We start from the raw sequence: 27,026 nt of genomic DNA, 5'->3' as shown, positions 1-27,026 counted from the left end.
AAAGTTATGAGTTTAGTTGAAAACTTGGCTGCAACAGATGGAGGATCGATTACTAAACTTTTCAAAGTGAAAAGAAAAAAATTGAGACACTTTAGATACACAAAATAATTACTGAGTGAATGTAAATGCCAGACTCTGGGCTTATTCCATCCTGCCAGTGCCATATCTATACAACCACTTTTCAGATGAGAAGAATGAGAATCAAATGGGCCTGGGACTGGTGTGAACAGAGTGAAGAGGGAGAGAGGGAGTATAATTTAGATGCAAAATTTAAGGTGGCACCAAGGAACTCAGTCATCAAGATAAATAATATTTTAATGTAATACATACTTTTTTTTTTTTTTTTTTCTGAGACAGTCGTGCTCTGTCACCCAGGCTGGAGCACAGTGGCGCAATCTCAGCTCACTGCAACCTCTGCCTCCTAGGTTCAAGCAATTCTCCTGCCTCAGTCTCCTGAATAGCTGGGATTACAGACATGTGCCACCATGTCCAGCTAATTTTTTTGTATTTTTAGTAGAGACAGGATTTCACCATATTGGCCAGGCTGGTCTCAAACTCCTGACCTTGTGATCCACCCACGTCAGCCTCCCTAAGTGCTGGTATTACAGGCATGAGCCACCACGCCCGACCTAATGTAATATTTTTAAAATCAAAACTAACGCAAATAAATCCATGTTGAAAATAAAATATCAAAAATTTAAATAAAGACAGGATCCAATAGGGCTAGGATTAGGGTAGGGTGAATGAGGTGAGTTGTGCAAATGCAGCATCAGATGACATTTTAAACTTTTAAACTTAAAAAACAGTGCGGATATATTTATTCTTTAAAAATTATTGTTTACCTAAAATTCACATTAACTGGGCATCCTGTATTTTTATGTGCTGAATCTGACAATCCTACCCCCAGGGGAAAGAGTCATGTTCAAGATTGTAACTGCAGTTGCTACAGACACGTTTGGGAGGCTTGGTTGCCCCATTCTGTGAGCAGAAGGGCAACATGTGGGATCTGTATCCCTTCTGGCATCAATATCCTGCAACTGTAAAACACACATCCCTTAGATGTGAGGCGTCCTATTGGTCCCTGTGGGGAACACATGAAAAGTGATAGCCACAATTCTCACCATCAAAGAGCTCCTGATACAGGGGAATAGACCAGAACACAAGACCAGAACAATACCAAAAACTGTGCAGAAAGATTAGCACGCTCAATGACTGAGTTGCTCAGAAGAGGGAGAAGATGTTGCCTTTGGGAAGTCAAGTCACAGAGGAAAGAGAAAATTAGCTGGACCTTAAGCCCTGGGTAAGATTAGAATAGGAAAGAGAGAGGCACTTTGACTGGCAAAAAGAAAGTCATGTAGACAAGAAGGCAAGGTGGTTCTGGGAAGGCAGTGAGTGAAATGAGCCAGCTTTTTCTCCATGATGTGAAGAGATCAGTTTGACTAGCTACAGAGACAAATTATTTCTATAAGAGCTTCTTTATAGTGTGATTACTACTAACTTTATTTTGATCTGCAAGCCCAGAGAATCTCTGGTAACATTAATCATTCCATGTTACTCTTGTCCGGATTCTGTTTGTGTAATATTTGTGATCCTGGGTTTCTCCAGCCTCAAAGTCTTTGGCTGAAAACAATTCAGAAATGAAGTTGACTCTGGAGCCATATTTGTTGTGACTGTACATGAAGGCTGGGGAATGTTAAAACAAGGACTAGGGTTTAGGAAATTTGGGCCACTGGATGGGATAGTCAATTTACTGGCCCTTTCTTAGCTCCAATTTTAAAAAATAAGGTATTTGTGCAGGAATAACAATAGTAGCTTGTCAACGCTCAGCTTTGCACAGCAAATGGGAACTTGGAAGCCATTATGTCCTACTTTCCTCAGCTCTGTATGTCTAAATGTGGCCATAATTTTAAATTCATCAGTTTAAACTGGACAGGAAGCCAGCTACTGAGAGTGAGACAGAGAGAGGAAAAGAGGGAGAGATAGAGAGACAGAGACACAGACGGAGAGGGAGAAAGAGGAGAGGAGAAAGGGAGAGAGCAATGGGGGATAGTGAGGAGGGAGGAAGGAAGGAGCGGAGACTTGCCTCCTAGTATCAGCTCCCTATTATTAGCCTCCATGATCCTTGACTAACCATTTACCCCATTTTTTTTTAAAAGTCTGAGTTTTGTCATAAGCACAATGGATAGCATAATATATGCTCTGTCTTCTTCACAAGGTTAGCAGGACGATCAATCACAATGGCAATGTGCTAGAAACAATAAAAGACATTTAGACTATTCAGGGTAATTAGGAAAGTATTTTTGATGTGGAAAAAAAATGAAAGAATTGATTTAGAAACTACATAGAAACTATTTTTGGATCACCTGTCCTTCTGCTTTCTCCATCCAGGCAGATAATGTACGAAAACCTTGCCAAAAACTGGTATCCCTAAAGAAAAAGTTCTCTCCCTTTAAAAAGGCAATATTTGGGGCAGTTCATTTTAAATACACAACTAGTCTGAGATATTTCTAAGAGGTGAAATGAGGGGCAGAATCTCCAGTTCAGTCTTTTACACAGTAGGTCCTGGGACATATTTTGTCTAGTAACTAAGGATTTGATCATCACAAGCACATTCTAGTTCCCTAGGAGTCAACCAGAAGCCTCACCTAGCTCTCCATCCCTGACCCTCCAGGCTCTACAAATTAAGCATACTTTAACAAACTGAAGTGAAAGCAGATGTAAGTATTTATTTTGACATCATCACCTAATAATAAAAGCAAAATGTGTGGTGTTAAGTCAGTCATCCAATTATTCCCTGTTTTTGCTGAACAGAAGGAAACAAAAGCCAATTAGTTGTAACCACTCTCTGCCAATAACCACCTAAGTGACCTGGCCACATCTCTAGACTCCAACCTTATCATCTGTAGAATGAAAGGGCCAAGGATGAATTATGGAATCGTGAAATATGAGAAGCAGAAAAACCATCAAGCACCTGTAACTATACTTTCCTGTTACAGGGAAACAATCATAACACTGCAGAAAGGGCTGGGAATTGACAGGCAGTTGAAGTTTTTCTCTTCTCTAAAACGTGGCTAAGTGCTTGCTTTTGGGGAGCATAAAAAGACATAGGCCCTGTAATGTGTTTAGCCAATACCTAACCAGCAGAGTTAACTCAGTCAACGTTAGCTGTCTTTCTTTGCCCACCTCCTCATTCCCCTCAAAGATAAGGACAGCAAGGTCTAGAGAGATGAAGTGACTGATTATGATCACCTGGCTCATTAGTATCTGACCAGCACCTCCAGACTCCCAGCCAGGGCTTTTTCCATTCCATATCTAAACGATCTCCCTTCTCTAAAATTTCAGGATTCTGTGATTTCATAGTTTCATGTGTTTCTCTTCAAAGGCTACCAGTAAAATCTCACTTTGAGGTGTATTTCCTCTGCTGCTTTTTGTCCGCAGAACTTATATGCCTTTTTTGAGCCTGCTCCCCACTTTTCTTCTTTATCTTTACCTGCAGAGAATGAGTGTGCAATAGACATAGCCATTTAATAAATATCGTTATTAAAAAACGAAGCCAGGCGGGACTACTCTCTACATTGCTGTGGGCACCTTCCCTAGTTGCCATCTGTTGTGCTAGGGAGATGCATGTTTATTAAACTTTATTTGTTTTAGTCTTTGAGAACTATTTTACAAAACGCATTTGGGGAAGATCCATGGCTTGAATTCATGAGAGCAAAGGGAATAAATTTCCTGACTTGGATTTTTAATAGGAGATCCTTTATTCTCCCATCCTCTGGCTTTAAATTCAAGTCCAGTTTGCTAAAGGATCAGATACTACCTTGAAGACCTTTATATTTCGTTTGTCCTTAAATAGAAGGATTAAGCCATTAACAGAAATTTCTCTTTTTACAATTAATCTTCAGAAAAAGAACAATATTTTATTTCAACAATTTCTTTTTAATAACACTGCTCTTTGCCCCTTTGCAAAATAAAGGCCCCTCCTTTGGCCCACTTTGGACAAGGATCCCCACCCCACTGTCTCCCTATATAAATACCCATCACCCCTTCTGAAATTCTGAAGGTGTTTGTAATGGATTTATATAAACATGCTGAATAATACACAACTGATACTGACTCCCTAACTTATAAAACAAAAAGCAATAAAAATTATTAATTTATAAATCTCTGAAAATGAGTATTTCTTTTTTTTTTGAGACAAAGTCTTGCTCTATTGCCCAGGCTGGAGTGCAGTGGCACAATCTCGGCTCACTGCAAGCTCCGCCTCCCGGGTTCATGCCATTCTCCTGCCTCAGCCTCCCGAGTAGCTGGGACTACAGGTGCCCGCCACCACGCCCGGCTAATTTTTTTGTATTTTTAATAAAGACGGGGTTTCACCATGTTAGCCAAGATGGTCTTGATCTCCTGACCTCGTGATCCACCCACCTTGGCCTCCCAGAAAATGAGTATTTCTTTAAAGGCTGTTCCCATCCCAGCCCCTCATCCTACCATAAACACATAATCCAGTTCTGGGGGGTCTCTCATGGAAGCCCTGGGAATATAAATCGACCATCTTGGTGCTTCCATTGGATCCATGGCTGCACATCAACCATGTTTCAGGGTACTATATTAATATGTGGGACATGGTTGTAAGAAGGTAGATGTTTATCACTTCCTTTCTTTCCCTTGAAGGGACCTGCAGACATGACTGAATGTATAAGGAATCTTCAAAATATCATGTAGCTGTGACTGTAATATATTAGATGTTTTAGGAGCTAATCAAATGCCCAGTTTTCAAATTGTTGTCATTTGAAAGAAATGGAAGTCAAAATCATCAGAATGCCAGAAAGCAATAATATGCCATGCACTCTATCTCCAACACATTTTGCTGTCATTTAAACCTACAATTTAGACAACAGGAGGGAGAAGAAAAAATTATCTATTGATCCAACAGTCACACTATCATTTTTGGAGGGTTGCCCACCTACCCTGAAACCCTGGATATAGAAATCATATCCTTAGTACAAATAGCACCATTATTTATAGAACCTTGAACATTTCATAATATCTTTATATTATGTATAAATCTTAGTTGGAGCATGTGGACCTTTCTAAATATACCTTTTCACTAGCTAAGGACATTTCTCTTGGAAAAGAAACAGGCAGTATCTCTTTAGAATGGATGAAAGTTGAACAGTGGCCACAAAGCAAATCTATAATCAACATACTCTGACCACATCACAACCTAGCTTTCTTGGTCTCTGAGGTGGTGGTGGGGAAGGGAAGGAGGTAAAGGTGAAAAGGGAAACACTGATGTATCTCTGATTCTTCTCTGCCAGGCTGCATCCATTTTCAAAGAAATAATCCTCAATATATAATGTAAGAATATGGTAATATTGGTGAGACTACCAGGCCCTATCCGATAGTAGAGCAATATCAGGATATGCCTTGGACAATGCGCAAAGCAGGACTGGCTCAGAGAGATCAACACCTGTTCTCATCCCCCCATCAACCCATCCATGTTATTTCAGTAGCAGCCCTCGTAACTCCCAACCAAGACTCTGTGGGCAGGGAACAAACTGATAATAACATCCAAACCAGTGAGAATCAGCAGTAGAATCACAGGTTGTAGGTAGAATTATTAGGAAGGAGACATATTTTCCCACTGAGATTGATAAACTGGTACTAGATAAACCTTGAACTACTTGGGGAGTCTCCAAAAATAGACCCCACAAAAAGAAGAGCATAGCTGAAAGAAGGAGAGGCAGAGGAAGACGGAGAAAGACAGAGAGACAGGAGGGAGAGATGATGAGAGAAACTGCGGCAAGAAAGGGATGAAGAATTGGAGAAAAAGAAATTTAAGGGAAGAAGAAGGAGGGGAAGAAAAGAGAAGTCAGCTTTTGGAGTCAAATCAAAATGGTTCATATTTTCCATTATGTGTTCTTTTATTAATAATTCATTTGAGCTGCTATAACAAAAATATCATAGACTGGGTGGCTTATGACAACAGGAAATTTATTTCTCACATTTCTGGAGGCTGGGAAGTCCTAGATTAAAGCATTGGCAGACCTCTGTGTCTGGTGAGGGTCCACTTCTTATTCCAAGAAGGCTGTCTTCTTTTTGTGTGTTCACATGGCCAAGGGGGCAAGGGAGTCCTCTGGGGTCTCTTTTATAAGGGCACTTATCCCATTCGGGAGATCTCCACCCTCATGACATAATCACTTATCAAAGGCCTCCACTAATCCCATTCAGGAGACCTCCACTTTCATGACATAATCACTTATCAAAGGCCTCCACCTCCAAATACCATCACATTGGAGGTTTCAACATTTGAATTTTGAGGGGACACAAGCATTTAGTATATAAAACACATTAACCTATAAAATAATTGTTTTGCTTGTCATTATATAGAACCTGGAGTTGTACCTGGAATGCAACAGGTTTTCAGTAAATTTTTCTAAGTCAATGAATGACACACTTGGCCTCCTGAATCTAGTTGCACTTAAAGCCATAAGTTTCTATCCATGGGTTACCTGGTGCCATGAGTTAATAAATGCCTCCATGTTTATTCATGTGGCATTTCTGTCACTTACAAAGAAAAGGGTCTTATTAAACCAGAGATCTTAAAATACTAAGCCGCAGTAACTGGAAAGCAGAGTGGTGGGTATCAGGGCAGACCTCAGGCAAGGTCTGGAGCACTGTCTGAGGAGTTCATGTCTTGGCAGGGCATCTAGGTTCATTCACAGGGTTTTCCCCAGCACAAATTACTGACCCAGCTCTAAATCTTAATATCGTATTTCTCCCCTAAATCCAGTTAGTTACTAACCTTGAGAAACCACCCATCAAAAAGTCTATAAGGATTCATACTGTTCCTCAAATCTCTCTTTCCATGACACCCACTCACCACAGTGGAGATCTCGAATGCCACAGCATCCTTTGTTGACTGCGTTCCCTCATCATCCTCATTAAGGCCTGCTAAGAACAAGCTTTAATTTCCTCAGCTCAGTATTCCTGAATTCTTGTTTAGATTTTACTGAACTCCTATTTCCTTTTTTTGTTTTTGAATCTTTTTTTTTTTTCTTTTAACTTTGAGGTTCGGGGATACACATGCAGGTTTCTTATATAGGTAAACTCATGTCACAAGGATTTTGTGTGACACATTTTGTGTCACACACATTATGTGTCACATCAAATCCGTCATGCAGGTAGTGTGCCAAACAGTGCAGATATTTTGTGACATAAGTTCACCTACAGAAGAATTATTTTGTCACTAGACACTAAGCATAGTACCTGATATATATTTTTTCGGATCCTCTCCTTCCTCCCACCCTCCACCCTCAAGTAGACCTCAACGTCTGTTGTTCCCCTCTTTGTGTCCATGTGTTCATGTTATTTAGCTCCTATTTGTAAGGGAGAACATGTGATATTTGGTTGTCTGTTCCTGTATTAGTTTGTTAAGGATAATGGTCTCCAGCTCCATCCATGTTGCTGCAAAGAACATGATCTTGTTCTTTTTTGTGGCTGCATAGTGTTTCATGGTATATGTGACACATTTTCTTTATCCATTCTACCGTTGATGGTCATTTAGGTTGAGACCATGTCTTTGCTATTGTGAAGAGTGCTGCAATAAACAAATTAGTACGTGTGTCTTTATGGTAGAATGATTCATATGCCTTTGGGTATATACCCAAGTAATGAAATTGCTAGGTTGAATGGTAATTTTTTTTTTTCTTGGGCCTGTATGTTAGGGCTTCAGAATCTGGTCTCCCCTTCATAATGGTCCAGTTCTAATCTATTTGTATTTTCTCAACAACTCACAAACGTCCTCCTTCTTTATAGGCTCATATTGGTGCCTGACTGGAAGGGGCCATTCCCCTTCTAACTCACAATTCACCTAGCCAGGTTGTACCCATTCTTCAAAGAAAAGCTCAAAATCTCCCACCTCTGACCACATCTTTCATGTAGGTAGTGTGCCAAACCATGCATATATTTACAGTATGCTACCTAGTGTTACCTAATAAGTTTTTGTGCGGCTGCAGAATACAACCCAAGCTTTTTGTGAGTAGAATGTGCCTGGTTTTCTCCCAAAGAACTCAGGATGAAACTCTTAAGACATGGTCAGGAAATGCTTGTTTATTGATAGAAAGATGGATGGTCCAAGTAGGCACCTGGGGATAGGCAGCAGGTATGAAAGGGATAGATGATTTGGAAAATATGGAGTCCTAAAAATAAATTTCACCCACTTCACAATTTGCTGATCAAAGCCATAGGAAGTAGTTGGCACCTGTGTAAGGTTACAATTCTTGTTCCTTGATTTATTTTATCAACACAGGTGTAGTCCTCAGTGATTACTTGCCAGGCAACCCTGCATAAAAGACATTTTTCATAGTGCCAACCCCCTGAGCTTGGGTGATTGCTAAAAGCTGGGGTTAATTAACCACATACCCCTTCTAAGCCTGCAAGAGACCATGAACTGAGCAAACTGCTAAAAAATGCCATTTCATCTTTACAGTTGAGATAAAAGTAGTTAAGGCAAAAGTGCAAATTCCCATTGATTTTATACACAGATACACACACACATACCCAAACTGAATAAATAATTTAAATTTCAATGAAATTAAAAGTTCCATTTCATTTTTAAGTGCATATTCCCCAAACCACTCAGCTACTGTTAAAGCTTTCAACACCTAAAGAATCCCTAGAGTCTGGCATTTTTCTACCATCTCAAAAAGAGGTCAATAACTGGGTCCACATTGCTGAGAATTCACAGAAATCAGAAAACATTCAGGCAGAGGGTAACCTTAATTTATGGAAAGTATGTCTATGTGGGGATCCACAGTCTTGACCTCCCTGTGCCTCATTTACCATTCTATCAAGAGCCAGCTCATGTTGTAATTCCTCCATCACCCCTTCCCTGCCCTCCCAGTTCACAGAAACCCAGCCTCTTCTGTGTGCCTATAGCCATCTCTACCATTTATTTGGTTCTTTATGAACAATTCTCACCAAGGAAATAATTCTATATTGTGCAAACCTCTTGCATTGTTAATTGAATTTCCGATGTCAGACGGTATACAAATAATATAAGCTGCATCATTACTATCCTGTAGTGTTCAGAAACTTGTCATGAGCATTTTTTTTTTTTTATCCAATTAAAGGCACAGCTGCCCAAGGATAGGAAAGTGTCAGACCATTACATTTCCTTGAAACTGAAGTTTCTGGCACAGTGCCTTACACAGAATCGGTGCTAAGCAAATTAGAAATATGTATAGATATGTACATATAAATATGTATTGGCTATGAATGAAATAGTATTCTAGCTACTTGGCTTAATTACATGATACCGATCTTTGGAGACAAGGCTAGGTGCAGAGGTGGAATTGGTGGCTCGCTGCGACTTCACCAACGGTAGAGTCATATTGTTGCCTACTCTCATTCCCTTTTTACACTTTATACACTCATTCCCTTTCTTCCCTGCTCAAATACCTCCCCTATGCGGGAAAAAGATGGAAATTTCTAGGAGCCAAAGCTTTTGATTGTATGCATAGGATTAAGATGTATATACCCTTGGAAGAAGAAGTACAAAGAGTAAATGGCTTTTATCAAAGTAGTGAGTGGTGGGAGTAGATAAGCTTGAAAACAGTAGGAACTGAAAGAGAATAGATTCGATAAAATGGTGCTTCTAAGAGATGAGAACCCTTAATGGAACAAGGAGGCAGGATGTGTTTGAGAACACCTAGGACCTTTCCCATTGCCAGCCCCGCAGCAAAGGAAAGTGAGGAAAGTATGTGGGTGCCAGTGGGCAGAAGAAGTACAAGGTTTGGGAGCACCAAGGACTCTTTGCATCCTAGGGGATCCCAAAGGTATCTCCACTCTAGTGCCAGAGCCAGGGCTGTTTTGCCTGCCCAAATCAACTCTGACCTCTCTTTGTCTTTGCCAAAGCCTGTGAGAATGACCTCTTCCTGTCCTCTCTGGCAGCACCATCTTTCAATCTCTATCTCGTTGTTTTCTCCCTCTCATGTCCCCCTCCAAAATGCCAGCACTGTCTTCAAAGCAAGCACACAGGTCCCAAGCACTTTAATTCTTAACATTATGAGGGAACTAGCACAGAAATAAGGTCTTCTTTTTAATTATATGAACAGTTAAAACAACCAAAGAAATATTTTAACTATTTGCACACTAACAAGCCCCAATCTAGAGGTGCTAACCTTATTGTTAGCCCACTTATGCTGTCTTTTGCTTGCTTTGGGTGAAGCTTATCAAGCTCTGTGCTCTTCCTCGACTTCTCAAACTGATCTCCAAGCTGGGGGAAGGCCAGGCTGCCCCCAACCCCAGCACCAACACCCAGGAGACTACCACCTCCTGAACACGAAGGTGCAAGCCACTGGCACTCCTCAGGCTTAGGTGAATCAGGGACCTCACTGAGCATGCTTGGAGTCTGTCATACTAGTACTATCTCTTGGGGCATTCCCTCACACTTGGAACCAATGAAAACTTTATGAGGCAAAATGGAATTTTTGTAGCATGACAGTTAAAAACTAAACTATGTAGAAAGCAGGCCGAAACCCTGGAACACATGTCTCACATCGTCCCAAATATTCCTCACTCTGTGGCTCCCATAAACACCATCTGCTGTGTTAATTTGTAAAGAATTACAAGGTTCTTAAAATTACACTTTGCTCTCTGTAGCGTACACTGTGTCTATGAAGGGGGAGACTTGAGAATGCATATTACATCCAGTCATACACTGAGATCTTCCTTCCTATGCTGGCATCTAAATGAAAGTTTGCTAGGTCTGCATGGAATTTTAAGAAGTGCATTGTAATCTCTGCAGGCCAGCTGTAGGGAAGGAAAACACAAAAACAAAAAATACACACAATAAGACCTTTGCCTAGGTTATCATCCTACAAGCTTATACCTTTTCAGATTGCGCATATATCTCACACTTCACTGGATTCTTATGACAACACAAAGTCTTCGGCTATAAGTGAAAAAGGCTGAACAGCCAAAACTGGGAGAACTTCTTGGGAGAGACTTAATTCTCCATTGCTGGCTCCTGACCTCCAAGGCCTCCTCAGAGCCCTTGCGGGAGGCTGAGAGTTTCTCAGTTGTTCCTCCCTGTCTGCTTAGAAATTCAGAAGAGCAACATCTCTTCCCAAAAGTACATCTCTGGCCAGGTGCGGTGGCTCACGCCTGTAATCCCAGCACTTTGGGAGGCCAAGGTGGGAGGATCACAAAGTCAGGAGATCGAGATTATCCTGGCTAACACGGTGAAACCCCGTCTCTACCAAAAATACAAAAAATTAGCCGGGCATGGTGGCAGGCACCTGTAATCCCAGCTACTCAGGAGGCTGAGGCAGGAGAATGGCGTGAACCCGGGAGGCGGAGCTTGCAGTGAGCCGAGATCGTGCCACTGCACTCCAGCCTGGGCGACAGAGTGAGACTCCGTCTCAAAAAAAAAAAAAAAAAAAAAAAAAAGTACATCTCGAACAGTGCAAGACATTGATGAATGGCTGCTAATGAAAACTTTTACGTAACTTAGGTCCTCAGGGTGCTGCTGCTGGTTAAATAGTGGTAAATGGTGGCTAAAAAATGAGAAAATAAATAGGAGAGTCTTAGACTCAATAGTCCATAGGCTTAAAACTGTTAATAGGAGATAGTTATAACAAATGAAGATTCCTGGTCCCTTTCCCAAAATACTCTGTTTCAGTATCTCTAGGGTAGGGCATGGAAATTTTCCATTTTAATAAACATTTTTAAATTATAGATAAATTCTTGAAACAGGAGGATAGTTCAATGGGTTTCAAACCAACAAATCATTTGATTAATCAATCTCTCCAATTGTGGCCTAGGAATCTGTATTTTCATATTTCCTTCAAAATTCCATTGTTTAACCTAATTTGGGAACTTATTTTTGTAACCATTTACTGGAAGTACACCTGAAATAGAACCAAAATCCACAATTATGGCAATTCTGCTTAATTCCCAGTGAATTAGTCACTATATCTAAAAAAACCCAAGAGATTCATAATCAAACCACTTAATTAGAAGAGAAAAGCCACACTTTCTGACACACTAAAACAATACAGGCTAGGCATACCCTGTAACAACATTTCAAAAAAAGTCCCTGCACAAAGAAAGAAAAAGCTATACCAGCTTCCCAAATTCTTTGACTGTTATTGTCATATCCACCTGTAGACATCAAATAAGGTTAGCTGAGACGATGGACAAAGAGATAAAAGTGACTGCTGATCTTACTAAGGCATAAAGAGCTTAAGAAACTTTTGCAAGTTTACAAAAGTAAAACAAAAAACCAGGATCCTGATACAGGCAATATTTCAGAGCTTCTGCTTGTAAACCTGTCTACACTATGCTGATTTCCTAATATTTTAAGAAAATTCACTCCCAAGTTCCTCTTTCTATGATCCCAACCTTTCCGTTCCCTTGTAATTATGCCCCAGCCCTCAAGAAGAAGAGTTTCTCTGAGCACCCCATAATAATCTCCTAAATCCCACTTCTGCCCTCTTCCCCATCCTGAAGCATCCTCTACAGCCAAGATAAAACCCTGCCTCTCCCTGACCCCAGAGCCTACACAGAACTCTCTTCCCGATACCACGACAGATCAGTGCTTTCTGATGTCGGGCAGACAAAGAAAGCCCTGAATAGCCTTCTTGGGGAAAGCTGGCACCAAGTGGTCTCACCCCGCATCCCTCATAGTCAGATACCTGGCTGTAGCTACTCCCTGTCTTCCAAGCCCTGATGAAAAAGGCAAGAGTAGGGCTAAAGGTGGGTGCTTGAAGCTTCTCTGTTCACTCAGAATAAGCTGAGGGGAATGAACTATTGTTGCTTCTAATTATGTCATCGGCCCTATGGAAAACTGGATTTTTAACACTGATTATAGGAAACTATTGGAGTAGGTTGACAATAACTCCTAAACTGCTGATGATGCATTTGTTAATCATATATACAACACAGCAGAGTAAAATAAAAATGTTGTGATCATGCCTTGCATTTGAATGTGTGCATATGAATGAATGTGTGTGTGTGTGTGTGTGTGTGTGTATACTGCAAGTTCATGTGACATTATGTCTTCTCTGTTATTTATTTATTTATTTATTTATTTATTTATTTATTTATTTATTTATTTTTTGAGACAGAGTTTTGCTCTTGTTGCCCAGGCTGGAGTACAATGGCGCAATCTCTGCTCACTGCAAGCTCCGTCTCCTGCGTTCAAGTGATTCTCCTGCCTCAGCCTCCCAAGTAGCTGGGATTAAAGGCGCGCCACCATGCCCGGCTAATTTTTTGCATGTTTAGTGCAGAGACGGGGTTTCACCATGTTGGGCAGGCTGGTCTCAAACTCCTGACCTCGTGATTCGCCCACCTCGGCCTACCAAAGTGCTGGGATTACAGGCTTGAGCCACCTGCGCCTGGCCCCCTTCTCTGCTATTTGTAAGCAGGTACTCTCCCAGTAGATAGAGTTTAAACTATGTCAGGGAGAGACCACATCTCCCAGTGTCAGGCACAATGCCCCCAAAAGGAGTTTCCCTTGTACTCAATAAAGTCTTGTAGTGACATTAGACTTGGGAGTCAAAGAATGTTAAGGCCAAGTTTCCTCTGGCCACAGATGAGAGATGGGACCATAGATGACCGAGGAAGATAAATTCCAAAATCTTAGTTCTTCCAGAATCTCATACCAACCTGCTTATTTGCATCCAGAGCTACCTATCCGGCCATGTGTCGCCATGGAAAGCCATAGTGCTAGCTCCAAGGTTCATCTTAGTCTCCTAGAAGGCTTATGACACTAAGACTTAGGGTGGGGAAAGACGGATGCTTTGATAAATAAATCAATGTTATCTCATTTTACCTTCTTATGTAAAATCACAATGCAAATGCAATTTCCAGTCTTCCTACCTCCTCAACCTTCATGCTCTCCCACATGCCTTCCTTTCCTTCCAAGAGCTTTCGAAGTAGACACAGACTTACATTACATCTCAGCTGCTCAGCTGTGTGAGGCTGGGCAATTTTCCTAAACTCACTGAATCTCAGTTCTCATCTGCAGAATAGTGAAAATAATGCCTAACCCAAGATTATGGTAAAAATAAGAAAATGCATACAACATGTCTATCTCTGAGTCTAGCATGAAAATGGTATCCAATAAGCAAATTCCTTACCCTGATCTTTTCCTCTTGTGATAGTAAGCTTCCTAAGGAAAGGCACAGTGCCAAGAATCTGAACTATGGATAAATGGAAGACAGATGGATTGAATGTCTAGGGAGAATAAATTGTTTTATAGGCTGGATCTGGATTTACCAAGACTTGCCATTTGGAAATCTTTGAGCATCTGAGTAATATTTAACACTTGTGAAATTTTCACCAAGTTAAAATCCATTCATGACATACTCATATATGAGGCAAATGAAAAAGGAGAACCAGACATTGACCCTGATATTTCACTTCTATAGTCCAGTCATGAGGAATTCAAGCTCTGACAACCGTGGTAGCTTCTACTGGGGAAAGATGGGGAGCAAATGCTGGGGACTGATTCCTCCTTTTCAGTCCTCTGCATGGGTAATGAAATCAGTAATGAACACACCTCACTGATGATTGTAATCAAACTGAGCACCTGTAACTGCCAGAAAGAGGGAGATCCCCCAAGCATCAAGAGTGGATTCTATTTCAGTCACCCTCACTTGGCATATCAAGGAAGGGATGGCCTTGCAGAAATTAGAAAGCCAGATGCAGCAGGCTTTCCATGTCTGCCCCACACTGATGGGGAGTCCTCGAAGGGAATTGCTAATCACTTATACACACCTCAGAAGGTAGCAGCCTCCAGAGCTGGGTCTGAACAGCAAGAAAAACATTCTTTTCTAAATGTCCTCTCCACCATGATGCAAAGTCTAGAGATCTATCTATCATTCTTTAATGTACAATTCTTTATTGTAACTCATTTGTAATGACTCCAGAAGTTCCCTGCTAAAACACTAATAAAACTAAGAAGGATGTTACATAGACAATTTACTTACCGTTTTTTTTTTTTTTTCCTGTTTCTACCATTAGCCTATAAACCTCAATTAGGAACTTCATCTCTCTAGTTTGCTGGCATGTCTACTAAGTCCAGTAGCTGGCAAAAGTTTCTTAATGAAGGTGTGACCTAAAATGGTTGTCATTCTAGAAAATAGACAGCTGTTCCCTAAACAGATAGAATAGAAAGGCAAGATGGAAACCTCTGTGTGAAGGGTGGGAGAAGAAAACTTAAAGAGTTAAATAAAACAAACTCTGGTCCCATAGGAAATCAGTTCATTAGGAATTTAGGATTTAGGAATTAGACATATGTATGACTCTAAACAAAAAACTGAGGGGAAAAAAAATCAAATAATGGTAGAGATGTGGGAGGGGCAAAAAAAAGATTCATTTTTATAGTTTAAGGCAAAGAGTGACTCAGACCTTCAGACCTTATCCTGGAGCTTCTGTGTGCTGTGGTGGATCCAAAGCAGGAACTACCAAGGGAATAAAACTGGCCAGAGATCCCATTTCTACTACCAAAATAGGAGGTACTTAGAGGAAGTCAGAAAGGGAAGCCAGAAACCAGGAATCAAAAGTGAGTAAAAAGTCCTGAGTAAAACCAGCTATAAGTCTGACTTGAAGGCCAGGCATGGTGGCTCATGCCTGTAATCCCAGCACTTTGGGAGGCCGAGGCGGGTGAATCATGAGGTCAGGAGATCGAGACCATCCTGGCTAACACAGTAAAACCCTGTTTCTACTAAAAATACAAAAATTAGCTGGGCATTGTGGCGGGCGCCTGTAGTCCCAGCTACTTGGGAGGCTGAGGCAGGAGAATGGCATGAACCTGGGAGGCGGAGCTTGCAGTGAGCTGAGATCACGCCACTGCACTCCAGCCTGGGCAACAGAGTGAGACTCCATCTCAAAAAAAAAAAAAAAAAAAAGAAGCCAGAAACCAGGAATCAAAAGGTAGTAAAAAGTCCTGAGTAAAACCAGCTATAAGTCTGACTTGAGGGTGGGTCACCATGTTATGGGTTCAAGTCTTTTCATTACCTGTACAGAAGCCAGACTGGTGCCAAGCTCAAAGTTTCCTGGCAATCCACCCCTATCCCCACAACCTACATGTAAACAAACACAAAGCCAGGTTTATAAGAACCAAACTGTATACCTCCCTTCCCCCTCTCTTCCTCATCCTGAGAGCTCCATAGAAATCCCTACCTCCTGGGGAGGCCCTTTTCCCTCCAGAGGACCTCCTGTGCCTTTCCCGAGGCTATCCCAACCCTCTCTTCTCCCTTGTGTCCGTTCTCCTGTGATTAACCAAAGCCTGTTAAATGGAAAACAAAGAAAGAACTTCCAACCTAATAAACATTAAATACAGTCTGAGTATCATAATTTTGTTTTCTTAAGCACAGTGACTCCAGGGGTAGAAGGAGTAGGCTTCCATCTGTGCTCGCCTGGGGTGGGGAAGAATCTGCAGGCTGCAAATCACATCATCTGGGCTGAAGGAGCCTGCCACCACACTCCATTTCAAACGATATATCATTCCACTAAGTAAGTGTTTATTGGGCACCTATGTAATGTTGAGTCCTGTAGAGGTGTGATGTGGGCTGAACTGTGTCTCCCCCATCCTCAAATTCACATTGTGGAGTGCTAAACCCTAAGACCTCAGAATGTGACTATATTTGGGCGATACGACCTTTAAAGAGGTAATTAAGTTAAAATGAGATCATTAGTCCTAACGATCTCAGCCCTAATCCAATATGACTGGTATCCTTAAAGAAGAGATTAGGACACACACACACACACACACACACACACACACACGCACGCACGCACGCAGAGGAAAGACAGTGTGAGGGCCGAAGGAGAAGATCACCATCTCCAAGTCAAGGTCAGAGGCCTCAGAAGAAACCAACCCTGTTGACTCCTTCATCTCAGACTTCTAGTCTCCAGAACTGTGAGAAAACAAATTTCTGTTGTTTTCTGTGAATAAGTCTCCATCTTATTCACAACAGCAAAGACATGGAATCAAGCTAGGTACCCATGAACGGTAAATTGGTTAAAGAAGATGTGTTACATATACACCATGGAATACTGCACAGCCATAACAAGAACAAAATCATGTTCCTTCAGCAACATGGATGCAGCTGGCAGCCATTATCGTAAGCAAATTAACACAGAAACAGATACCAAAAACCACATGTTTTCACTTATAAGTGAGAGTTAAACATTGGTACAGAAAGATGGAAACAATAGATACTAGGAACTACCAGGGTGGAAAGAGAGGAAGCCAGGGAGGACTGAAAAACTACCTGTTGATTACTATGTTTACTACCTGGATGATGGGACCTGCACCTCGAACTTCAGCATCATACAGTCCATCAATATAACAAACCTGTACCTGTTGCCCTGAATCAAAAATAAGAGTTGAAATCTTTTTTTTTTTTAAAGTTTCCCAGTCTTTGGTATTTTGTTATGGTAGCCCTAGCAAACTAAGATATGGTGTAACAGGAAATACCAGAGTAATGGTTTGTTGAGGTTTGATGACATTACTGATTAGGCTACAAGGAGTTCTAGAGAGCTGAGATGAGGACAGGTAGGGAGGATGTGACAGGCTCCAGAAATCTCTTGTGTGAATTCTCGGAAAGCTCTTCAGTATTTCACAGCACAAGACTCACGTCAATCAGTTTGTCTGAATAACAAAAGAGCAGCATCTCATCCAACAATTAGAAATTTCCCAAGCCCAGGAGCAGGTTTCTTGGTCTGAATGCCAGGCTGGTTTCCTCAGGCTTTCTCAAGCTCCTTCTAGAGTCTTACATCTCTTATTAGAAATTGGCAGCTATAGGATGCAAAATAATTCAATAATAAGTAAGTAAGTAAATAAATAAATAAAGCAAAGTAAAGCCACCTTCCTTATTGGTCCTCAAATATTTCTCATTTCAGTAAGCATCCAGAGACAAATTTAATCTCATGCTCTCTCACGGTTTAATTCAGGTAAAAAATAGAACTTCTATATGCTATGTGAAAGCTTGCAGGTGCTTTTGATTAAGAAACTTGAAGTATTTTAGGTAACTATATGATACCTATCCCCTTATGGGCAATATTTCTTTAATGATGTCCCTTTCAGAGTTCAGGTTTACTATTCCTAGTACTCCAAGCAAGCAGTGGGTAGCTGTGTGCTTGAGATACCATGAAAACAACCTACATGTTGACTAAAGGGAGTGAAGAAATACATGCAAAGCTGGATCATGGCTAAACCATTGGTCCTGATTCATTCACTCCACTAATTAACACTGAGACTCATAGAATGATCAGGTCCTGATTTGTTCACTCCACTAATTAACACTGAGACTCATAGAATGATCAGGTCCTGATTCTTCCACTCCACTAATTAACACTGAGACTCCTAGAATGATCACAGGGCTAGGCACTGGGCCATGGCAACACAATCATGGTCACAATCTGCATGGAGTTACCGTCTAAAGCTTGTAGTCTAAATGTCAGCACTATTGACATTCTGAGCTGGATAATTCTTTGTTGTGGAGGGCTACCCTAGGCATTGTAGAATATTTAACAGCATCCCTGGTCTCTGCTAATTAGATTCCAGTGTATTTTTCCCCCAGTTATGGCAATCTAAAATATCTCCAGACATTGCTAAGTATCCTGGGGAAGGGGGGAGCAAAATTTTCCCACTTGGGAACAACTGGCTTAACAAATGAGACATAATTTTTAAAGTAATTAAAATAGAGTAAGACAAATGCTATGATACAGATACAATGCAAATTGACTGAGAAGTAACGTGGCTCAATAAAAAAAAAAAAAAAGCTGTTTTCCCAATGAAGAGATATGAAATGAAGACAATGTCTATTTTTTGGGTGTCTACTGTGTGTCAAACACTTGACCTTGATTGTTTATTTAATTCTTATGACATACTCATATGATAAACATTTTACAGGTATGCTCAAAGACACCAATGAACATGTTCAAGGGCCAAAGAGTGAGAGATAAACCCAGGATCAAATCCAGGTTCTACACTCAAGTCCAATTAATTCTTTAGGAAGGACAGAGAAATTTTAAGAAAGAGCAACCTTTGCTACATGAGGGCTAAAGTAGCCAACAGCTTAAAAAAAAAAAAAAAACTTCTCTAAAAATGGAGCTTGCATGGGGATTTGTGGCCCTAAATAAATATATTATTGAAATAATGTAAATTTGAGACTGGTTTAAGGCAATGAGTAAAGGTTATAGTGGAGAGGTTCTGGGGTTCCACAGCATCCATCCTATAGTCATGAGAGTCCATGGATTGGCCTTATGTTTGAGAGTCCTCAAATATCAACCTGCCAGCTAATTATCATCCATAAATCCAATCATCTCACACCTGCATGAATTTGTTTCATAGGGAGGGAGATGATTCCTTCAAAATTTCTTATATTGTCCTTGCATAGTTGATAATAATGCCTCCTTTCACTCTATAAAGTGCTTCAATTCGGACGACAAGTTTTATGACCACCTTATTATTAGTTCAATTAAGTCTGGAGCTGAAAAATTATTAGGCCAGCTATTTTACGTCATTTCATGTCACCAGTTTCACTCTGTGAAAATCAAGTCCATTATTTAATCATTACCTCTAATAAGCATACATTACTTCACTCACCTGCCTGAAATTCTCCAATGCCAACCTATCATCTACAAGATAAGTCCAAGAAGGTCCTGGGCAATTTGACTTCAGGTTTGCTCTCCAACCTTACCTTCCACCTCCATTGCTCAAATAGACTGTGCTTTCATGCCTCTAGGCTCTTTCACGTGGCATTCTCACTGCTGACATTCCCTCCATCATTTTATTCAATAACATTGACCACTGTGTTAGAATCTACAATGCTCCCCATTCTCTCTTCACCTGTTTATTGATGATCTCATTCAAATATTATCTTCTCTGTAAAAAAAAAAAAAAAATCCCTGATTTCCTCAAACATTATTTGTTCCTTTGTGTGTGTGTGTGTGTGTGTATGCACTGCACTTCATGCATCTTTCTACCATGGTTCCTGTCATCCTAAAATTGCAGGTTTCTTTGTCTATGCTATTCATAATACTACTATATCATCATTATCTTTATATTGTTAACACTTCACTACCTCATATTTAGTTGACATCTGATACATATTTGCTGATAATGACTGCTATGGGTAAATGTTAAAATCAGAATTGGCCACATTTTGGACAATTCATCTGAGTGCCTATCATGTGACAGCCATATGGCTTTTGCTGTGTAATGATGGAGTTCAGGACATGCTACCTCAATATATGGCATCTTGGCATTTGAGAAATCTGCAGAAGCAGAAAGGTCACTCTCACCTTCTTCTTGAATTTCTCCCCTCAAGCCAGTCATATGACCCTCATTTGAGAAGTACCCTTCCTAACCCTGAAGGGAAAGAACATTCTTAACTCTGAAGATATAGGGATACAGAAAAGAAAGTGAAAATCAGGCCATGCTGTTTCCTCCCGTTTCTTACCATTAGATCATATCGTTTTTGCTCAATCATACTTCTCTACAACTATTTATGTCATCATCAAACCTAGCATTAAAAAATATGTAGATTTACTTATTTCATTGGGTCTTCATTTCTTTATGAAGCCTCTTGTGTCATGTAAAACATACTAAATACACTTGTATGCTTTTCTGTTACTAATCTGCCTTTTGTTACAGGGGCCTCAGCCATGAACCTAGTGATGAGTAAGAAAAGATATTTCTTTAACCTTTCAGTAACAAACACAAGTAAGTGGCTGTGTGGTATAGTGAAAAGCCAGAATATCTTTATCTTATTTGCCATTTTCTTCTTTGTCTTTCTGTGAGGACAGGAAAGTCACTGAACTGTATTAGATCCCAGCTTTCTTATCTCTAAAGCAAGGTGTTAGAACTAGATAATTTTTAAGTTTTTTTCTCCTCGATAGTTAAGTCATCCTTGGTCAAGGTGACACACCAAAGTCTTCTGGCTAGTTGTCAATGAATCAGCATTGACTTGGCCTTATTATGGCTATATTTTTCCTCCATATTTAAAAAATGGTATTTAAAGTTACACAATAGTCTATATTAAACATTTTGAACAATATTTATATGAATAAAGTAAAAGGTGAATTCCCCCCTTTCCACAAACACACAGCCCTTCCTGCCCTGAAATTGTTGGTAATATTTCACTAGGTAGCTATAGATCTTTTTCCATTCACACACGCACACAAACACATACACACACACACACACCACTCAAATATGTTCATATACAATATTTTTTCGCTGAAATAGGATACAATGGCTGCACTGAGTTCTCCTACCTCTTTCACTCAGCAAGAGTTCACCAACACTCTTCCATGTTTCATGGCAGTACAATATAAATGCCTCAACCTTTTGTTGTGAATTCATGATACTTGCTACTTGGAGTGAGCTATCGTTTAAGTGTTTCCCTATATTTTAGCATCTGTGTTGCCAAATTAGTTTTCTACTGCTGTCATAACAAATTACCAGACTTAGTGGCTTAAGATAGCACAAATATATTGTCTTAAGTTCTGTAGGTCAGAAATCCTATAGCATTGAAATCAAGGTGTGGTCAGGCATACACTCCTTTCTGGAGGTGCTAGAAGAGAATCTGTTTCCGTGCCTTTTCCTGCTTCTGGAAACAGCCCACTTTCTTGGCTCATTCCTCTCTTCATCTTCAAAGCTAGCAATTTAGCATCTCTCTGGCTGTGCTTCTGTAGTTCCGTCTCTCTCTGACTCTAGCCAGGAAAGATTTTCTACCTTTGAAGACTCAAATGATTAAACTGGATCCACCTGATAATCCAAGACACTCTCCCCATCTCAGGGTCTTTAACCTTAATCACATCTGTGAAATTCCTTTTCCATATAAGGTAACATATTCATGGGTTCCAGGACTTAGTACGTGGATATCCTTTGAGAGCCATAACATATTCATGGGTTCCAGGACTTAGTACGTGGATATCCTTTGAGAGCCATTTTTCTGCCTACCACAATTTCAATATTTCACTTTTACAAAGAATAAGGCAGTGGGCATCTGTATATGTACATTCTTGCATGCTTGGGTGAGCACTTGCGTAGAACAGGTTCCTAGAAGTAGATTACTAGGTCAAAGAATATGTATATTCCCCAACTTTCTAAGATACAGAGAAATTTATCCCTTTAAGAAGTCCCTGCCTTATTTTTAAGTGTCCTTTCTAAACGTTTAGATATATGAAAATGGTGGGGGAGAAATATATCCTTTGTGGCAAAATAACCTAAAACGTTTAAAATCCTAGTTCACTATAACTTGCATAGGTATAAAAAGATAAGAATAAGATGGTGGGATTATCTGCCCAGGCACCTCTCACTCCTCTTTGGAAGCTTGAGGAAGGGGGTTGTAGGACAAACAAAATGCTCTATATAGTGAAAATAAACTTTATGAACCTGTTCTTCAAAGTATTGCTCTGAGCTGACTAACCCTATAGCTTTAGACATAGGGTTCAAGAAAAGTATACTACAATATCCTGGAGCACAGTCACCCAGCTGACCTGACAGTTCCAAACTTCACCAGTTCTCCTACCATCATTTCTCATTCCTACCCACTAGCCTAGCGTGCCAAATATATATATATATATACACACACACACACACACACATATATACACACACACATATATATATACACATACTGTTTTTCATTTTCTTTTCTTTTCTTTTCTTTTTTTTTTTGCTAAAAATGGCAAACCTATCAGCCATTGAAAACAGGCTGCTAAAAACAGTTAGAGATATTTAGAATATGCCCCTAAATTTGGAGTTTGCTGTCACAAAAGGAAAATTTGACATCTCCCAGAACATCTGTATCATGTAAGTGCCTTAAGAATAAATCTGTGCACAAAATAGATCAATCAGGCTAATTGGATACTTTTCACAGGCCTTTGTGTTAAGGCTTACTTTTTGTACCCACATTGGCCTGCTTTCTAAACTGAAGCAAAAATGGTTAAAAAAAAAATGGCATCTGTGTATAGTGCATTCAATTCTCCAAATTTAGCACATGCACGTAAAAATTTATAGAAAGGAGATTATATGATGGGAATTAGCTTTACAGCGTGAGACAATTTCTGTCCTCTACATGCACCCTATTACTACTAATAATTTAAAATCTAACTAGCTAAAATGTAGACAACATTTCCCAGTCTATGAAATACTTTTCAATGCCTTATTTCATTTTAATCCTCAGTGCAACCCATAACTTGGGTAGTATTTTATAATCTCTCTTTGCAGATGCTGAAAGTCTAAAAATGGTAAAGATTACATAGACAGGAGAGGGGAGAAATTCAGAGCTTAAATGTAAATATATGCCAAAACAGTGTATGACATTGATATGGCCTCTGAGGTTCAATCAAATTCTAAATTGATATTGTGTGATCTCTACCACAGGAATATCTTTCTATGAATGTGTCAAGCTTTCAGAAGTCATTTTTTGCATGCATTTATTTGGTAACGTGGATTTCTAAATTATGATGATAACAGTCTGAGCAAACTGATAAACATCTTGGAACTCAACTGCCAAAAGTCACATCTAAACACAATCCCACCTGAAATTAACAAGTTGCTACGAATCTCAATGGAGCAGATGCTTACTATTTCTGATATCCTACTCAGCTGAATGATAAAAACAAACCAACAAAATAAAAAACAACCAAAGGAAAGAAGAGAATGTAATCCCTACTAGTTAGTAGAGCTGATATTGAATACTTACCTCTTTTTTTAAAAACTGCATTATTTCAACATCTTTAAACATTTTTTTCACACCATTACAAGCAGGATATAAAAGTTATAAAAAAAAGTTAATCATAATGCTGGTTTTTACCAAGCATAAAGCTATTTATAAAGAGCTGAATGCTCAACCAACTTTTCAATTTGCATCTAGATATTGGTCATAGGGTAGCTGCTGGCAAAATAAAATAAAATAAAATAAAAAATAAAACAAATAAAAGTTTTAAAATCTTAAGATAATAATAACAGTTATCATTAAATGAATGTCTGCTACAGGCCAGGAGACTTATATTCGTTTTCTCCCACCTCCACAATAACCCCAAACCCTAAAGCTTCTTTTTATCAACGCATAAATGGAGCTTCAGAGGCCTTAAGAAATTTGCCTGTGGTTACAAGACTAGTCAGTCGGAGGTCTCAAACCTGGGTGAATCTGTGCACTCTCCACAACACCGCATTGTATACTCTAGTTCAGCAGCACCCAGAATAGAAGGGAAAAACAGTGTGATAATGAAGTATTTTGTTTTCCGTTTTTCTACGCAATGTGAAAGTAAAATAAATCTTGGGGTCCCACTACCCTAAAGGGAAAAGTCAAGCCGGGAACTGCTTAGAGCAAACCTGCCTCCCATTCTATTCAAAGTCATCCCCCTGCTCTTTGAGATACATGTGTATCTGATTGCCTCCTTTTGAAAGACTAATCAGAAACTCAAAAAAAAAAAAAAATGCAACCATTTGTCTCTCACCTACCTGTGACCTGGAAGCCCCCTCCCTGCTTCCAGTTGTCCCGCTTTTCTGGATGGAACCAATGGAATCAATGTACATCTGTCATATATTGATTGATGTCTCATGTCTCCCTAAAATGTATAAAATTAAGTTGTGCCTCGACCACCTTGGGCACATGTCATCAGGACCTCCTAAGGCTGTGTCACAGCTGTGCATCCGCAACCTTGGCAAAAGAAACTTTCTAAAGTAACTGAGACCTGTCTCAGATATTCGGGGTTCACAGCGATATGCCTGAGGGATTTGACACACTGCAACAACAGCAGCGGAGGAAGAAGGGAGAGGCAATGAAAGGGAGTTGAAGAGGTATTTTAGGAAGGCTGATCCAATATCTGGTGGATGCATGGCCACCACCACAAGGTTGGAGAGCCTATCACTAAATAACCATGTGACAGCCTTCATCGGCTAGATCTGCAGATCTCAAAAGATGATCTGTAGGACACCAGGCCTTGAATTTGCCCCTAAAAAAGTTATCAAATATGCAAATGCGTCTGTGAACTACTTTATACAAACAAATGCATGCATACACACACGCCGCCACTGCCACCACAGTGCACCTTTAAGAAAAGAAATCAATGCAAGTATCAAGGCACTGACAGTGACAAATAAAAGAAATCTGTTTAACTTGATTAACCCTGCTTTTCCAACTTCTACTGGGCCTCAGAAATGTTTTTCTCTTGTAATATCCATTAAAATCTTCAGGAGCTGATGTTCAGAGGAGCACGCCCATGAAGAAGATATTCTTTGTGACCTTTCTAACTCACATATTGTATTGCCCAAGAGGTGGGACCAGAACCCCAGAAGTCCTTAGGTCTTCCCTGAAATGCATTCTTCCTGGTAAACTGGTATTTGGGATGTTAAGTGTTCTGTGTGAGAATTGCCACATTCTAATCCCATTACCTTCCCTATCATTAAGGTAAGTGACAGCAATTCGAGTTCCCTGTCAGTTTAATTAGAGGAAGTGAAACACAATTACAGGGCATTAGTGGGCATTAGTGCAAGCCTGATGCAGGAGAGCAGCAGGCCCCGAGGGGCAAGCATAACAGCCGACCACAGGGGGAAAAATGCACTCTTCTCCTCTGATTCATTGAAAGTCTTAATTACAATGCTACTGTAGGGGGAAATTGTTTTATAAATGCCATTACAAACACAGTCTGATTGCAAAAATCTTTTTATCTAAAAACTAATTAAACCATTATTTCCTCTCAGATGACAATGGTAAGTGTAAGTTTTTCACTTATGAAAACAGTTACACAATCTTATGTTCCTCATATTTAGAGAGCATCTTTTTTTTAAAAGTGTCTACAGGCCAAAATGATTTTAGAAATTAGAAACACTATGAAGACCATAATAGAGTTGTTGTTGTTTTTTTTTTTTTTCCAAAAAACACAAACTATCATGTTGTAGGCAAAAGACAGTGTTTTTGCTAAAATGTAAAAATATAATGAGCTTATATGTGCCAGCTCATTTTGATGAGTACATTTTTAAAAAATCATGTAAAAAATAATTTACAAAATACTATTGCCAGATATGACAAAAACAAGATTTTACAACCTTTAAAATATAAGCTGTGAGAGGGCAAGCGGTTGTGTTTATGCAGGGCTGCACTGTCAGCATGTCAACAGTGAACAGTGGGTGCCTACTACTCATTCTTTGATGGGAAGAAAGCTACTCTCCAAGTGGCTTTGAAGTAGTCCCTTGAATTTCATGTTAGAAACAACTGGATATTAGAGTTGATTGGAATTGCACAGGTTTTCTTTGAACGATTTGATGTATGTAGATTAAGTTTTGAATAGATACGGTAAAGGTGGTGACAACAACCCCAAATAGATGCCATTTCCAATTACAGGGGAATGGGAAGAGGCACAAGGCCAGGTATGCAGGTATGTAGATAAAAAGAAAGAAGTGATGTTACATGAAGGCCAAACCCCACAGATGACTGGATTACAGTGTGTAGGAGCACGCTTTAGCCAATGCCACTAAATCGAGCTGTTACTATCGCATTTAACCCCATCACTAATCATAAACCCGAGTTTCTTCCCTGTTCTCCCCTCTAGAGCCCAGCTACATATCAAGGGAATCTTTCCCTTGCTTAGAAAAGATAAAACACTTTCTGCTTTAAGGAAAAGCTGATAGACTAAAAATCTGTGCAGAAGACACAGAGGTGATTATAAAAGGCTTATTTCCTTAACAAAAGGATTCTCTGCAGGCTTATTTTAAACAGTGAGCTTCTCTAATGAGTTGAAGTGTTTATTTACAGATCATCAATTACCTGGGGTGAGGAAAGAAAAGTATGAGGAGTGTCAGAGGGAAGATACAAAGTACTTAAATCAAGTAAATCATTAGGAGCCACTGACAAGTGAGGAACCATCAGAAAAAAAAAAAAAAAAAAAATTACTTTCTCTCAAATTATAATACAGACATCCATGGGAAACTTACTTTTAGAATACACAAACTGAAATTACACCCATAATTTTAGGAACGACTAAAATAAGGC

General features: G+C 39.8%; 1 protein-coding gene across 14 annotated transcripts in view, besides 2 other annotated features; it reads right to left on the bottom strand.

Moving 5' to 3' along the window:
• Nucleotides 1-27,026, bottom strand: part of CTNNA2 (catenin alpha 2) — a 1,463,404-nt gene that overhangs the window by 257,301 nt on the left and 1,179,077 nt on the right. The window lies entirely within an intron of this gene.
• Nucleotides 25,190-25,707: an enhancer, noted in NCBI's record as "NANOG hESC enhancer chr2:80592898-80593415 (GRCh37/hg19 assembly coordinates)". NCBI's record gives its function as "activates a minimal SCP1, AML or CMV promoter by ChIP-STARR-seq in primed H9 embryonic stem cells {active_cell/tissue: H9 hESC(primed)}" and the evidence as "EXISTENCE:reporter gene assay evidence [ECO:0000049][PMID:30033119]".
• Nucleotides 26,009-26,794: an enhancer, noted in NCBI's record as "OCT4-NANOG hESC enhancer chr2:80591811-80592596 (GRCh37/hg19 assembly coordinates)". NCBI's record gives its function as "activates a minimal SCP1, AML or CMV promoter by ChIP-STARR-seq in naive and primed H9 embryonic stem cells {active_cell/tissue: H9 hESC(naive and primed)}" and the evidence as "EXISTENCE:reporter gene assay evidence [ECO:0000049][PMID:30033119]".

Source organism: Homo sapiens, chromosome 2, assembly GCF_000001405.40.
Source record: "Homo sapiens chromosome 2, GRCh38.p14 Primary Assembly".
Lineage (NCBI taxonomy): Eukaryota > Metazoa > Chordata > Mammalia > Primates > Hominidae > Homo > Homo sapiens.
This window is presented reverse-complemented; position numbering and strand designations above follow the sequence as displayed.